This window comes from Homo sapiens, chromosome 2 (assembly GCF_000001405.40).
Source record: "Homo sapiens chromosome 2, GRCh38.p14 Primary Assembly".
Lineage (NCBI taxonomy): Eukaryota > Metazoa > Chordata > Mammalia > Primates > Hominidae > Homo > Homo sapiens.
The window spans coordinates 10626394-10643270 of record NC_000002.12 but is presented as its reverse complement, the minus strand read 5'-3'; the positions used below and the strand labels follow the sequence as shown (position 1 = coordinate 10643270).

General features: G+C 41.4%; 1 protein-coding gene across 14 annotated transcripts in view; it reads left to right on the top strand.

Annotated features, from left to right (window-relative positions):
• Positions 1-16877, top strand: part of NOL10 (nucleolar protein 10) — a 119222-nt gene that overhangs the window by 46705 nt on the left and 55640 nt on the right. The window contains exon 14 of one of the 14 annotated variants that reach the window (XM_011510402.3): positions 8713-10861. The exons of 12 other annotated variants lie outside the window; for them this stretch is intronic. In XM_011510402.3, coding sequence (XP_011508704.1) covers positions 8713-8724 — 12 coding nt within the window. In that variant the 3' untranslated portion in view covers positions 8725-10861. Of the gene's footprint in view, positions 1-8712; positions 10862-16877 lie in introns of those variants that run through there. One more of the 14 variants, XM_024453153.2, reaches the window with a different exon arrangement.

Here is a 16877-nt window from a genome sequence, read left to right as displayed (position 1 = left end):
TGTATTTTCACACATAAAAAAAGCATGCTGCTTGCTGTTGACTCTGTGGTTTCGGGATACTGACGTGTTGTTGAAAGCACTTAGAGATATTTCGTTTGGTTGGTAGTGAAATGAAGGCCGTTCAAACAGGAAGCATTTTGGTTTTCCTAAGTTACCATTTGTTCCTTTTCCCCTGGACTCTTGCAGATACTGCATTCATATTCCTGTCAACTTATCCATCTTTCCTTGTATTCACTTGTTAATAAATATTATGGACTACATCAACTGTGTGTTGGGAACGATGCTGTATGCTGGCAGTATTACAGCATCCAGGGTGCTGCCCTTCTCTTTGAGGAGTTACTGTTGGGAATCCAACAAGAAAGTAGGCAGTTGCCATTCAGTGTGAGGAGTGCTACCAGGGTACTGTGGTGGGAGCACGTAGGAGAGACCCTGTACCCACTGAGGGCCCAGGAGCTGATGAGAAGTGTGGTTGGCACTCAGGGAATACTTCCCAGAGGGAGAGACTTTGAAGGAGGGACCGAAGGATAGCTGCGTCGACTGGGTGAAGGGGTGGGGTGGAGTGAGGTGCCCAGTGGGAGAAGGGTTTTTTTTTCCTTTTCAGTCGACTTTCCCAGGTTGGACAGTAGATCGGATCTTGACAGTAGAGTGGGTGCAGAGCTGCGGGAGCAAGTACCTCCCATGGCTGAGCATTCGAGCCTGTGGGGGCAGGTAGAAAGCCAGGTTAGGAGGGGTCTTGTGAGCCGGCTGTGGGGATGTAGGGCAGGGAGTCCTGACAAGAGTTGTAAGCGGGGGGATAGGATCAGACCTGTGTTCTGAAAAGATTACTTTTGCTGCCGCAGGGGAATGCATTAAACAGGCTCTAATCTGGACGCAACAAGCACAGGCTGTGGCAGCCCACAGGAGAGATGATGGCACCTGCATTACCTGTGCCAGGCTCCCTTTCTAGTAGTTGTGGCTCTTTGGGGTTCTGGGATAATGTGAGAGAAGTCTAATCTGGTAGGCAGTACTTGCAGACGATTCATCCTTGAATTGCCTGGTGGCATGTCTCAGAGGTGTTCATTGATAGAGAGCTGTATAGATCACAAGAATGCTGCCCTCAGACCAGCGTTACGTAGTTTTCTCCCAGTTTGTGCCCCTTTGGGGAACATTGTCAGGAGAGGCAGAATAAATCAGCTTGCCCCTAACCTTTTCATCATGAGAAAGGTCTCTTTCATCTTCCTCTTAGAAGTGCTTATTGTATTTTGATCACTACAGCAACATGGACAGCAAGTGCCTGTCCATGCCTTGGATCTTAGATCCCTTCTGCATGTCAAAAGTAGATAGAATCAACTAGTGGGCAGGTGAAAAGCACTCTCAGTGTGGAGTGCTGCTTCGGGAGGTCTGCCTAGTAGAGGAGGAGATGTGGGCTGGAGAGCCGCGTTATGGAGAGGTGGGGAGGGGCAGTCCTGAAGATGGTTGCAGTGAGGCCACCTTACAAGCCTGTGTGAGGATGGTGGCCATGGGCATAGAATTGAAAGGGTTGTTATGGTTGTAAGAGACTTGAAATTGATGAGTGTGGGAAGTAAGGAATAGGAAAGGACCAAGGATGACACCCCGGTTTTTGCTTGGGCAAATGTGCAGATAACTATGTCATTCTGAGTCCAGGAAGAGGCAGGAGAATATTAAACATTATTTTCCCTTTGGTATTTTCTGCATTTTATAAAATGATCTTTTAAAGAAAGCAAAACAGCTTTTTTGTTCATGCAAACAATGTATGCGTATTCCTATTTATTCTAAGTGGGTTACAAAGTACATGAAAATAAAAACCAGCTATTCCCTCTTGATAATACTATAACTACCATTAATATTTGGATGTATTGTTTTTTAGTTATATTTGTGATGTTATGTGTGGGAAGTTGTATTTTTTTTTTTTAAGCTTTAATGTTTTTTTTTGAGACGGAGTTTTTGTTGCCCAGGCTGGAGTGCAGTGGCACAATCTCGGCTCACTGCAGCCTCCACCTCCCAGATTCAAGCAATTCTTCTGCCTCAGCCTCCTGAGGAGCTGGGATTACAGGCATGTGCCACCACACCCAGCTAATTTTTTTTTTTTTTTTTTTGTATTTTTGTATTTTTAGTAGAGATGGGGTTTCACCATGTTGGTCAGGCTGATCTCAAACTCCTGACCTCATGTGATCCACCTGCCTCGGCCTCCTGAAGTGCTGGGATTACAGGCATGAGCCACCGCACCTGGCCCTAATTTTTGTGTTTTTAGTAGAGATGGGGTTTCACCATATTGGCCAGACTGGTCTTGAACTCCTAGCCTCAAGTGATCCACCGCCTCAGCCTCCCAAAGTGCTGGGATTACAGGCATGAGCCCCAAAGTTGTATTTTATATACAAATTGGTTCCTGGTTTCTTCAGTTAACCTTGGAAATATTAATTCTAAGGTACTGCAATTACCTAAAACATTTTTAGTTGCCTCTATTATATGTCATTGGCTGGTTTATGACATGTCTATTATCTTAGAACTGTAAGAGACCCATTGTTTACTTCTGATTCTCTGGATCAGTTTCTTAGGGTGGGCGTTTTTGTTCCAAGTAATGGTGACTTTAATTAGCATGAGTATGAGGGGCTGGTGATGAGAAGAAGTATGAAGTATGAAGTGTGAGGGGCTGGATGATAGCCAGGTGATGAGAAATTGCCTTCTTGACAAATGTTAGCTTATCTTATAAGACCTTTTTAGTTTCAACTTTCTACCTGAGATTTAACAGAAAGCTGTGAAAAAAACATCCAGAGAGCCCTCTCCTAGGTGAGCTGCATATGGGGACAGTGTGAGCAGAAGTTGCTTTTGCTAAGCGAAGCATTATGCTGAAACTTGGACTTCAGTGTTCCTTTCTGACCTACCTTTCTGCCCTGCTCCCTCCCACAGTACTGAGTGATATTTTATAGCACCACTTGTCTTTACTTGGAAACTGCTCTTTGTAAACTCCTTCAAAGCAAAGGGAGAGCCCAGGGGTCTGAAAGCCTGCCATTTTTCATAAGATTTTATCAAACGTACCAAGTTGACGTTTGGCAGGAAGGTTCATTTGAGGCCTATAGAACCAAAGAAATGTGTGTTTAATGTATGATCCATGCCAAGTTTAGGAAGCCTGGACTGTGATTTGTATTAACATCTTATAAATCAGGTTTGAAAACTTTTTCCCTCCCTCTTTGGGGCATACTGAAGATGAAGGCAACTTAGTGTTCTTTTAGCTTGTTAATTTTTGCCTATCTGATATCATCTTTCTTGAGTAATTGAAATCTTTATAAACTAATGCAGTTCCTGATACACCACCTTCTGGCACTTAGATATCTCTGTAGCCAGCTTGTCCTTTGAGACCAAATGGGTTGTCTGCAGCCCCTGTCCCATTTTCTCAGTTCTTTCCTTATTTTTTATTTTTATTTTTATTTTTTTAATTCTCTCAGAGACCAGGTTCTATTGTTTTGTTTGTTTGTTTTCTCCAGGGTCTAATTCGTCTGCAGCTTCAGAGACTAATGCCAAGAATAATTTTTCAAGCTTGCTTTTTCCTCTGAAACATAATTTAATCTTAGGTTAGTTCTTTATAATTAACATCCTTGGCAACTATGTAGACTTCAGAGGGAATCCAAGTCCCCTATGGCACCCAACCCAAAACCTTTCTGCTTAATGGTGTTTCTGTTGGAAATGCTCCTGAATTCCGAGCCCCTAGCATATCAGGGCACTCCTGCAGCCACTCATTGCTTGGTGGTGGTGGTTGGGGTGTGAGTGATTGCTTGCTGCTTGGTAATGTGGATGTGTAAACTTGAGGAAAAATGTAGGAGGAAAACTATTTGTTTGGGAAGCTGTTTGATTTAGATGGAGTCTCGCTCTGTCGCCCAGGCTGGAGTGCAATGGCAGGATCTCGGCTCACTGCAAGCTCTGCCTCCCGGCTTCACGCCATTCTCCTGTCTCAGCCTCCCCAGCAGCTGGGACTATAGGCGCACGCTGCCACGCCCAGCTAATTTTTTGTATTTTTAGTAGAGACGGGATTTCACTGTGTTAGCCAGGATAGTCTTGATCTCCTGACCTTGTGATCCGCCTGCCTCGGCCTCCCAAAGTGCTGGGATTACAGGTGTGAGCCACCGCGCCTGGCCCAAGCTGTTTGATTTAGAAGAATAAAAGTAATTCAGTTGGCCAGGCATGGTGGCTCACGCCTGTAATCCTAGCACTTTGGGAGGCTGAGATGGGCAGATCACTTAAGGGCAGGAGTTTGAGACCAGCCTAGCAAACATAGTGAAACCCCATCTCTACTGAAAGTACAAAAATTAACCAGGCGTGGTGGTGTGTGCCTGTAGTCCCAACTACTCAGGAGGCTGAGGCAGGAGAATCGCTTGAACCTGGAAGGCAGAGGGTGCAGTGAGCCGAGACCACACCAGTGCACTCCAGCCTGGGCAACGGAGCAAGAATCTGTCTCAAAAAAAAAAAAAAAAAAAAAAAAAAAAGGCCAGGCACGGTGGCTCAAACGCCTGTAATCCCAGCACTTTGGGAGGCCAAGGCGGGCGGATCACGAGTTCAGGAGTTCAAGACCAACCTGGCCAACATGGTGAAATCCCGTCTCTACTAAAGAGACAAAAAATCAGCCGGGGGTCATTGTGGGCACCTGTAATCCCAGCTACTTGGGAGGCTGAGGCAGGAGAATTGCTTGAACCTGGGAAGCGGAGGTTGCAGTGAGCTGAAATCATGCCATTGCACTCCAGCCTGGGTGACAGGGTGAGACTCTATCTCAAAAAAAAAAAAAAAAAAAAAAAAAAGGGAATTCAGCTATAAGGGTATGTGCTTTGTTTTTGTTTTTTTCTTTTTTTAATGTCACTATTTAAGATGTTATAAAGAATAAATACTGCACCCAGCTTTCAAGAATGGCAGTTAGGTACTGTTACGTTACGTTACGTTACGTTACGTTACGTCACGTCACGTCACGTCACGTCACGTCACGTTACGTTATTTTTGAATGAGACAGGGTCTTGCTCTGTCACCCTGTCTGGAGTGCAGTGACGTGATCATAACTCACTGCAGCTTCATCCTTTGGGGCTCTAGCATCCTCCCGCCTCAGCTTTGTGAGTAGGTAGGACTACAGGCATGTGCCACCAAGCCCAGCTAATTTTTATGCTGTTTTTTTGTAGAGAGAGGATCTCACTGTGTTGCCAAGGCTGGTCTCAAACTCCTGGCCTCAAGCGATCCTCCCACGTTGGCCTCCCAAAGTGTTGGGATTACAGGTGTAAGTCACTGCACCTGGCCAGTTATTTTATTTTCAAACATTTTCTTAAGAAACTCCTATATTATTTCTATTAAAATATTTTGACTGTTTAAAATAAAACACTGATTAAATATTTTAACATTTACCATTTAATTTAAAATTTGGAAAGTACTCTTGGAGCCTGCAAATGAGGCGGTTAAAAACATGAAGAACCCTTCTAACTTGCACTAGTGCTTCTGCGTCTGTTCAGAATCGCACTGGAGCTTATCCAGCAGTTCATAAACCCACAAAACTCTGTCTTCGCAAATAGAGGACACTATGTGTTAAGAAGCATAAGGCCTCAAAAATACATACCACACAGCTTCACAGAGGCACGCAAACCAAAGGAAATGCACAATTGGAAGCCACATTTTTTGGAATGTAATAAAAGGTTGTTTAGTGAATGTTTCTAAGCCTCTCAGCTGAGTAGGTAGCACACTCCCCGCAGAGGTGAGGCCTTCTGACGCCATCACAGGGTTCAACGCTGGTATCTCCTCAGGGCTTCAGTCACTGGGCTAGGGCAGACATCTGTGCTCCTGCACCTGTAAAGATGGCAAGGCAGTAGGTGCTGCAGAATTTTAGGGGTTGTCAGGGAGATGCTTTTGAAATCATTATAGCTTTGGGAAGTCAGTTTTAGGGAAATGGCATGGACATTTTTCTAGTAAATGTATGAATATTTGCAGTCTGGCAGATTTTTTTCTTGCTCAATGAAGAAATACAAATAGATATTATAGTCTTTTTCTCAGGTTTTTTTCTGTAAGGGTTTTTGGTTTTAGTGTGTGTGTGTGTTTTTTTTTTTTTTTTTTTTTTTTTGAGACAGTGTCTTGCTCCGTGGCCCAGATTAGAGTGCAGTAGCACAATCAACCTCCATCTCCTGGGTCAAGCGATTCTCTTACCTCAGCCTCTCAAGTAGCTGGGATTGCAGGTACGCACCACCACACCTGACTAATTTTTGTATTTTTAGTAGACATGGGGTTTTGCTGTGTTGGCCAGGCTGGTCTTGAATTCCTGGCCTCAAGTGATCCACCCATCTGGGCCTCCCAAGGTGCTAGGATTACAGGCGTGAGCTACCACACCCAGCCTCTAAGGGTTTTGTGACAAAAACAAATTTAGGTGCAAACAATTTTAACTTCTGTCTGTGGTGAATTGAATTTGTTAGTCTAGTTCTAAACTCCATGACTATGTCAATGACTGTTGTCTGTTAGAGAGGTACTTATGGATACTTTTTAATCATCGCTATGTGATCTTCTTCCTATATAGATGGTATCTTTTTTCAAGTTCAGTATTTGAAACATTACTGTTCTGGTGTGTTTTGGCATAATTTTCCAAAGTCTTAAGAACACAGCCTTACTCCTCAGCTTCATTAAGAAGATACTTTTTTTTTTTTTCTTTGATTGAAGGTCGCACTCTGTCTCCCAGGGTGGAGTGCATTGGTGTGATCATGGCTCACTGCAGCGTCACAACTTTCTGGGCTCAGGTGATTTTCCTACCTCAGCCTCTCGAGTATCTGGGACTACAGGTATATGCCGCCACACCCAGCTAATTTTGTTTGGTGTTTTTTTTTTTTTTTTTTTTTTTTTTGGTTTTTTGTAGAGACAGGGTTTCACTATGTTGCCCAGGCTGGTCGCCAACTCCTGGGCTCAAGCAGTCTTCCTGTCTCGGCCTCTTAGAGTGTTGGGATTGGGATTACAGGTGTAAGCCACTGTGCCCGGCCAAAGATGCCATATTTTATCAGCTATCCAGAGTATATGTTGTTTTAGTTTAACGGTAGATTTGACAGTATCTTGAAAATAAGTGTCAAAAATTCCTGGATGGGCCAGGCATGGTGGCTCATGCCTGTAATCCCAGCACTTTGGGAGGCCGAGGCGGGTAGATCACTTGAGGCCAAGAGCTTGAGACTAGCCTGGCCAACAAGGCGAAACCCTGTCTCTACTAAAATACAAAAAAATAGCTGAGCATGCTTTGGCACGTGCCTGTAATCCCAGCTACTTGGGAGGCTGAGGCATGAGAATAACTTGAGTCTGGCAGACAGAGGTTACGGTGAGCCGAGGTCGTGCTACCGCACTCCAGCCTGGGTGACACAGACTCTCTTAAAAAAAATAAGAAATACATGAAATTCCTAGATGGACGAGTGTTTTGCTATTTTGTCTCTTAATATTTTTATTTTGTCTTCCTATATTATAAAAGTAAATGTAGGAGACCAACAAGTGCTTGTATTTGTTCAGTAAGGATATATTGAGTACGGTACTAGGCTGCAGGAATATGTTGGTGAAGAAAACCAACATGTTCTCTATTGTACACTCACCGCCCTTGTGAGCTTACAATCTAGGTGAGGGGTGGTGATAAACAGATCTGTGACTAAGCGCTGTGAAGGAAGGCAGCAGGGTTCAGTGGCTTCCTACGCATTTTCCCTAAGTCAAGGGTCAGGCACTTTGTATCAGTCTCTTTTTTATGTAGATATTTTATCAGCCCCCTTCTTCTGTGTAGATATTATATATAGATTTGTAAAAATCTCCCCCACCTTCATCTTAAATTTGAATTTCAGGGTTGGAGACTTGGTGTTTTCTTTGCCTTATGATCATAGCACATATCTGGGGCAAAATAGTGAATGACCATATTTGTCCCACAATCTCTGGAAACAAAAGAGAACAGTAGAGAGAATGTTGGCCGATAGAGAACGTAGAGGTTGAGCCTCTATAATCCAAAAATCTGAAATGCAGACGCTCCAAAATTTAAAACTCTTTTGAGTGCCAACATGACTCCACAAGTGGAAAATCCAAACATGAGACTTAACCTAAAGTCTGTTTCCTGCCAAAAATTATTAAAAATATAAAATGTTTAAAGGTATAAAATTACCTTCAGTCTGTGTGTATAAAGTGTATATGAAGCATGAATGAATTTCATGTTTAGACTTGGGTCTCATCCCAAGATATCTCATTATTTTTATACAAATGTTCCAAAAGCCAAAAAAAAAATCAAAAATTTAAAATCCTTCTGATCTCAAGCATTTTAGAAACAGGCTACTCAGCCTGTATTGCTTTTCCTGGACAGACGTGTACAGTCATCCTCCCTTTCTCCTTGAACATACATCTCATATGCACATCATTTTACTTTATCTCCAAGTGGTATTTAGAAACACAGTTGACCAGGCCTCCTTAAAACTCTGTGCCCAGCTTCTAGAAGGCCACATTCTCCTGGGATTCCTTCTTTCATCTAGTTATCTCTTTTCAGTCTTCACTGGCTCCTCCTCCTGCTGATAACGTCCTAGACTTCGGATCTTGCCTCTCTCCCCTGACCTCTGAATGTTAGTGAGCGCTAGGACTTAGTCCTTGTCTCTTCTTTATTTATATTCTCTCCCAGGGAGCTTGTTTATGCCTAGGCTTTATATAACTAGGCTTTATATAACAGCTGTGTGTTAATGACGTCCAATTTTCCCTCTCCAGCCTTCCCTCTGAGCTACAGAGGTACATATCCACCAGTCTACTCGGCTTCTCCACTTGGATGTCTAATAGCACATCCTGTTTAATGTGTCTACATCAGAACTTCTGATCCAGCTCCCCACCTGCACCCCACCTGCCAGGGTCTCCATTTCAGCTGAAGCCTTGTTGTTGCTCACTCGGCTGTCTAGGCTTAGAGCGCAGGAGCCATCCTTGTTTCCTCTCCTCTCCACTTCATGCCTCGTCATCCAGTCCATCAGCTGTTTGCAGATTTTGTTCCACATCCAGCCATTTCTCAGTGCTTCCCTTCCATCAGGCCTCTGGATTACTGTAATACTGGATAACTGATCTTTCTGCTTCTGCTTTTGTCTCTCTTGTAACCTATTTTCCATGTAACAGCCAGACTGATGTAAAATATTAAAAATATAAACAAAACAGGCCCAGTGCGGTTGGTCACACCTGTAATACCAGTGCTTTGGGTGGCTGAGGCAAGAGGATTGCTTGAGCCTAGGAGTTTGAAACCAGCCTGGGCAACATAGTGAGACCCCATTTCCACAAAAAGTTTTAAAAATTAACCAGGTGTGGTGACATGTGTCTGTAGTTCCAGCTACTTGGGATGCTGAGGCAGGAGGATCCCTTGAGCCCAGGAGTTTGAGGCTACAGTAAGCTATGACCATGCTACTGCACTCCAGCCTGGGTGACAGAGCAAGACCCTGTTGCTTAAAATAATAATAATAAATATATATATATACACACACACACACACACACATACATATAAACAAAACAAATATAAATCAGATTGTGTTACTCTTCTGCTTAAAACCTTCCAGTGGCTCATTATTTTGCTTACAACTTGAAAAGTCTTACATAATAGAAAAGCAGAAAGAGACTAAAGAATCAGATTCTGTTTTCTTCTCACTCAACAGAGAATAGATCTCTATTAAGCATTAATCTATTTACAAAGATCACCAAATAGTCAGACTGTTAAACCAAATCCTCAGCCACTGCCACCATAAATGGGGAATAACTTATGGGCTGTTAAACCAAATCCCCAGCCACTGTTACCATAAGTGGGGAATAACTTATGGGCTGTATATTAATAATATATCAATATATAATTAATACCAATGTTATGATACATTAATATATAATTAATATATCAATTATATATTACATAAGCTTTATTAGATAAGAAATTTAAAATTAGAGCCTTTTGCGGTGGTACCCACCTGTAATCCCAACTACTCAGGAGTGGAGAATCACTTGAGCCCAGTTCAAATCCAGCTTGGGCAACATGGTGAGAACTTGTCTCAAAAAAATAACGGAATAACTAAGTAAAATAAAAAAGAAAGACAGACACAGCCAAGTTCTGCTGTTCATTTGGATTCACCCCGCGAGCCAAGGACAACTGTGCTTGGATTTCAGGAGCCCAAGTATGTTACACTCTGATGAGGAAGTTTTCCTGGTTCTGTCAGGTGAGTGCATCAGGTATCTTAGTGAGACCTCCAAAACTGCTAAAAGATAACTTCCCCAAAACATGAAATCATGATTCTCATATAGAGATGAAATAAATACATCTTAAAATTTTAATTTAGGCCTAGTGCGGTGGCTCACACCTGTAATCCCAGCACTTTAGGAGGCTAAGGCCGAAGGATCACTTGAGCCCAGGAGTTTCAGACTAGCCTGGGCAACATAACCAAGACACTGTTGCTATTATTTTTTTAAATAATATTTTAAAATTTAAAAATTTCACATTTTAATTTAACCTGTAAATTAAATGAGGGAACCAGGCCCATGGTTAAATCAAAAGGTAAAATTTTAATTTAACTTTTAAAAGGAAAAGTGTAAAAAAGGACAAATTTACATGGAATAAAGTTATATTGAATTGGGAATGTGCAAGTAGACACAAAATGGTCTATTTTGGACTATTTGGGGCCTTTTCCAAAGGTATAAACTGTCCACCAGACATAATTCATTTGCATGTCTATAGACAATTATTTTGCATTGCTTCCAGTTACTTACAATTTGCAAAGTTGTAAAATAGGTCCTGTAGAATGAGAATCAGATGATCTTGCAGGGTGTACTCTAGACTGGGGTTTGGGAAACTACACACCAGCTGTCTGTTTTTGTAAATAAAGTTTTATTGAAACACAGTGAGCCCATTCATTTATGTATTATCTATGCAACTTTCTGACTATAATGGCAAAGTTGAGTAGCTGTGACAGAGACCATATGGCTCGTGAGCCCTAAAATATTTTCTCTTCGTTTATTTACTTCTTTACGTCTATATTTCCCCATTGTAATGTAAGACATGAATGCAGGGGCGTCATTTTGTCTTTTTCCCTGTTATATCCTCAGCACCTAAAGCAGTGCCTGTCATACTGTAGGCCCTCACTTAATGGGTGTGGAAAAATTAATGAGCACACAAGTGAGAGTGACCTGATTACTGCAATTTGGAGCGTCTTTGATAATGGTTGTGTACTTTGACCATGGCTGGTTTGCAGTGCTTCTTGACCGTACTTAATGCCAGATTGAAATTTTGCATTTGCCCTTTTCTGCTACTACTATTAAAATATAGAAAGGCACTCTGGGAGGCCGAGGCGGGCAAATCACCTGAGGTCGGGAGTTTGAGACCAGCCTGACCAACATGGAGAAACCCCGTCTCTACTAAAAATACAAAATTAGCTGGATGTGGTGGCACATGCCTGTAATCCCAGCTACTAGGGAGGCTGAGGCAAGAGAATCGCTTGAACCTGGGAGGCAGAGGTTGCAGTGAGCTGAGGTCGTGCCATTGCACTCCAGCCTGGGCAAACGAGCGAAACTCCATCTAAAAAAAAAAAAAAAACAGGGAGAACATGGTTCATGTGTGCCAGAGTATAATTTTCATACAGTAGGATTAGCATCAGTTCTTTGGCTCTGACAGTGCCTTCTTGTCAGCCACATCTGAGAATGGTGGTATGATGCAATCGTTGTGTTTGGGAGTGCCAACAAATTTTTAAAAGTAATACCTTGTCCAAAAGATTTAATAGTGATTCTGTTAAGAAGATAGGTTAATTAAACTTTTTTTTCCTATAAAAATCCAAAAGGAGAATATGAAAGCAAGGGCATTTAGCTTTTGTCTTAATTTTTTTGGAATTTGTGCAGAAGTTGGCTTTGCATCTAGAGTATGACAGCCTTATTGTATGTTTTAAAGATTGAAAAGAATGCCTTTTGTTTTTCTCTCCATGCTTTTAACTGGAGTTGCTGGGAGTGCTGTACACGTCATTCCCTAAGATTTGGGTTTGAATCAGGACCACGATTGGTCCAGCTGATGTATTTCAGTTCAAAGCCAACAATGTAGGATCATTTATGTTTACTAAATTGATATTCTGGAGAAGTCCCCAGTAAGAGATCTCTTTGCCCCATTAGTATATGTTGAAATGGCCCTGAATCTGTTAGTGTCCGTGTAGAATCCTAAAAATGATAGATCACACTTTCATCTAAAGTGCACATTTAAGCAGAGCCCTATTAGACATACTGACAGATGTAATTTTGCCAGAAATTGCTCTTTTATAGTACCAGTAGCAACATATTCTCTTTGTTTGGGAAGGTAGTGTCAGATGAAAAGAAAACTCTTCCCTAGGGAATTTATCAGCATACAAACGATGTTCCAGACAGAATGTAAACGGGAAAGTCGTTGCTCAAATCTTGTCCACACTAAAGGATTCATCAGTGTGCTTTAAAGGAAAGGGGAAGCTTTGGAGCATAGACCATCAGAGCTAGAAGGGATCTCCAAGGTCATCTAGTCCAGCCCTTAATTTGTAGCTGAGGAAGCAAGTTTTTGGGTTTTTTTTTGTTTTGTTTTTCCTGAGACAGTGTCTTGCTCTTTCGCCCAGGCTGGAGGGCAGTGGCACGATCTCAGCTCACTGCAAGCTTCACCTCCCAGGTTCACACCATTCTCCTGCCTCAGCCTCCCAAGTAGCTGGGACTACAGGCACCTGCCACCACCATGCCCGACTAATTTTTTGTATTTTTGGTAGAGACGGGGTTTCACTGTGTTAGCCAAGATAGTCTCAATCTCCTGACCTCATGATCCGCCCGCCTCAGCCTCCCAAAGTGCTGGGATTATAGGTGTGAGCCATCGCGCCCAGCTGCAAGTTATTGTTTAAGGTCAAATGGCAAGTTGGTGACAGCTGGATCTAAAAAGCATTTCTTCCTTCCACATTGCATAGTAGAAATAACTTAGACTTTGGAATTGGTTGGACCCGAGTTTGAATACCAGCATTGCCATTTATAAATGTGACCTTGAATGAGTTACTTATTCTCTCCGAACACTAGTTTCTTGAGCAACAAAAGAGGAATGATATTGTAAGGCATTTATGTAGAATGGATATACTCATTCAGTCATTTCTCATGTTCAGCTGATTTCTTGTAATGAACAGAATTCACGGGGTCCGTGGGTGGCAAAGAGTATTTGGATAAAATTAAGTCATTAAGCTGGGTGTGGTGGTTCATGTCTGTAATCCCAGTACTTTGGGAGGATGAGGTGGGAGGATCACTTGAGGCCAGGATTTCTAGGCAGCCTGGGCAACATAGTGAGACCCTCTTTCTGCAAAATGTTTTAAAAAATTAGCTGGGCATGGTGGTATGCATTTGTAGTTTTAGCTACTCAGGGGACTGAGGGGAAAAAGAATAATAATTATGGCATTGTGTGAGCATGGACTTTTATTTAGCTTTTAGAAGGGAATATCATGTTGAGCAAAATAAAGCTATACACGGAAAAGATTGTGACAAACTTGTGAATGTGAGCAAGGAAAATGAGTTAAGACATGATTTGGGATTGTTTAGTCTGATAATCACTTAAGATATAGATTGAGAGAGGTCTGTTGTGCCATTAGTTTTGCCATTGACTATTGAAACAGAAAGCAGTGATAACATCTGGTTGTTTAAATAAGAAGTCTGATTTTTTAAAGTGAAGTTCATTTTCCCCAATTATATCATCAAGGCGCACTCTTTGTACAAAATATGGCAAATACAGATGAGTAGAAGAAAACTCAAATACCCTTCCACTGCCTAAAGACAAACATTAACATTTTGCTGTATTTTTTCAATATTTAATCTGAAACTTTGTTAATATGGTTTCTTATCTTGTTTTTTTTCCCACTAAACATTTCTTTATTATTATAAACTCTTGGAAATTATTAAAAAATATATTTTCTGTATGAATATAAAGTAATAGTTATTTTTGAAAATACATAAATATCAGAAAAAGATGAAAAATTTATAAATCTCACTAGTCAGAGACATTCTTGCCAACATTTCTGTTACATTTTCTTTGCATTTGGGATATTTTAGTGGCTACTGATTGGATTTAAAGTGAAATCCTGTCAGAAGTTCATTTAGCTTACATCAGTTTCAATAAAAGCCCTTCAAGATGTTGGAGGCTGGAGGTGGAGGGGTGGTGGGGGGAGGGAGGGAGGTGTATGTAGGGGAGAGGTGGAGGGAGCAAGCGAGCATGTTTGCACTCTTAGGCAGTTTCACTTACGTGGCTGTCCATTCGCTCTGGGGGGCATATGTCCTGGACTAAACTTGAGATGAGAGGGCCTTTCTCAACCGAGAAAACGTGTTCCTAATTCCCTAAGGCATCCAGTTTATGTGATCAATTACCTTCTCCCCCATGCATTTAGGATGGCTCCAGTGATGGATCGTTGTTGGGAGAATTGAGAAAAGAGTTACTCGGTTATTTTTGTGTTCTTAGTTGAGATGAGGAAGACTGTTTGAAAAAGTTTGCTTAAATGTGTTGTTTCCTAATACTGCGCATGACAGCATCACACTGAGTGTGATTCTGGTCATTTAAGACATGGGATTTTTTGGTATGACGTAGTCACCAGGTGCAAGTCTCCTGCTGTATCTGGTCCTATTCTAACACCAGATGGAAATTCTGACGGGCCTTTCAAGTTTAGGTTTGCTTATATTCCATTTAGTCTTATCTGCTTGACTTTAGAACCTGATCTTTATATAAGAGATTAAACCAATGAAATTAAACTTCAGAAATATTTAATGCAATGGATAGAGTAGGAGAAGGGGAACAATTTTAAAAATACAGTTAGCGGAATGGGTGAGATGGTGCCTAGCAGCAGCAGCATCTATAACAAAAAGAGCTCTGTTGGTTTCAGTCAACTGTAAATCAAAGGAATAAAGGTTAAGTAGAATGTTGGCAGTGACTCCACTTGTGAATGGGGGTCGAGAATGTCAGGATAGCACAGTGAAGGGGCTGTCTTGGGGCTCTTCATGTGCAGAGTGTACCTGTGTGTGTTATTTCTGCTAGTGGTGGTAAGTTGGAGAAAGCTCAGAAAAGAATTCAAGAATTGTGTTTCCAGGCATCATCTAGATAGAGAAGGCATGATTTTAGGATCTAGGAAAAGAGTAAGATCATGCAAGAAAGCTACCTTGTATGAGGTACAGAAAATGATAGGACATTGGCCTGAAGACGAAAGTTTTCATTGTTTGAGGGTGTGGGAAGAGCTGTCAGACAATGGGAGGCAGTGAAGCACTCGCCTTTCACAGCTTCTAAAAGGAGGAAAAAGACAAATTTGAATGAAAAATATGATTTACTTTAAATTGAGTTCAAATTTGAATTCAGATGTATATTTTTAATTTTTTATTATTTTTATTTTTTAAAATTTTAACTTTTTTTAGATTCAGGGGGTACATGTATAGGTTTGTTACATGGGTATTTTGTGTGATGTTGAGGTTTAGGATGCGATTCAACCAGTCACCCTGGAAGTGAGCATAGTATCCAAAGTTGTCCCTCCCTCCCTCTCTCCCTCCCTCCCTCTCTCTCCAAAAGATGTGTTTTTTGTTGTTGTTGTTTGTTTTTTTTTGTTTGTTTGTTTGTTTGTTTTTTTTGAGACGGAGTCTTACGCTGTCACCCAGGCTAGAGTGCAGTGGCGCAGTCTCAGCTCACTGCAACCTCCGCCTCCCGGGTTCACGCCATTCTCCTGCCTCAGCCTCCCGAGTAGCTGGGACTACAGGCACCCGCCACCACGCCCGACTAATTTTTTGTATTTTTGGTAGAGACGGGGTTTCACTGTGTTAGCCAAGATAGTCTCGATCTCCTGACCTCGTGATCTGCTCGCCTCAGCCTCCCAAAGTGCTGGGATTACAGGTGTGAGAAGATGTGTATTTTTAAGATGTCTTGATTCATAATAGGATAAAAGAAACAAATGCCTAATTTTATTCTCCAAGAAAGGTATTACAATGATAAAGCCAAGCCTATAAGAAAGATCCGGAAAGATAAGACATCTTATGGAAGGTAAAAGACCTAATTTTATGGGGAAAAAGTGTGGAGTTCTGTTTTGTGATTTTTCAGTTATATATTCATAACTATGAACTGGGAAGCAAGGCACAAATGTCAGGTGGTTAATACAGATTCTTTTGTAAGACAAACAAGTTGTTTGTGACTTTACAAAGGGGAAATGTGGACTTCCTATTTTAATCTAAACACTTTCAGGTAGTAACAGTATCTGTGGCCTTTTTCTCAACAAAGGATATCCTCCCCGTTTCCCATCACAATTTATTGGATCACAAGAATAGCGGACATACAGAAGCATTAATGTGTGACAATCAGGAAGTAATTTTCTGAGCATCCTGTCGCATTTTCAAAGTTAATTTCAGTTCTGATTGGGTAAAAATGTATGTAATTTTCATGGAGATATTTGATACACATATGACATATATTGTGTTAGTGTATCAGATGATGTTTGTTTTTGCTTAAATAGTCTTACATCTGGCATGTCCATTTTCTTGAAAATAAATGACAACTTCCTATTCAGATGCTAGTTTGACTTCAATGTTGACCAAAGGCCTTGTCTCCTGGTTCCGGCATTTCCTCCATCTTGGTGCTTACCAAGTCGATCTCGTTGCCATTCTTATTTTGGATGAGATATAGTCGGACTTAAACCTAGTATTTCAGTGTCCTGGTTGTGTAGTCACTTAGGTGGCGATGTCTTTAGTTAACATGGCCATTATCTCTTCTTTTTTTTTGGTTTTGTTTTGTTTTTTCCTTAAAAAAGAAGGTAGCTTATACAAGTAAGCCAGAAATTTAGACTACATTCTTTTAAAAGGCCCACCTTATACAGAAAATAATAAGAAAGTTCTAGGACTTACACCATCTCTACTTTGATTCAG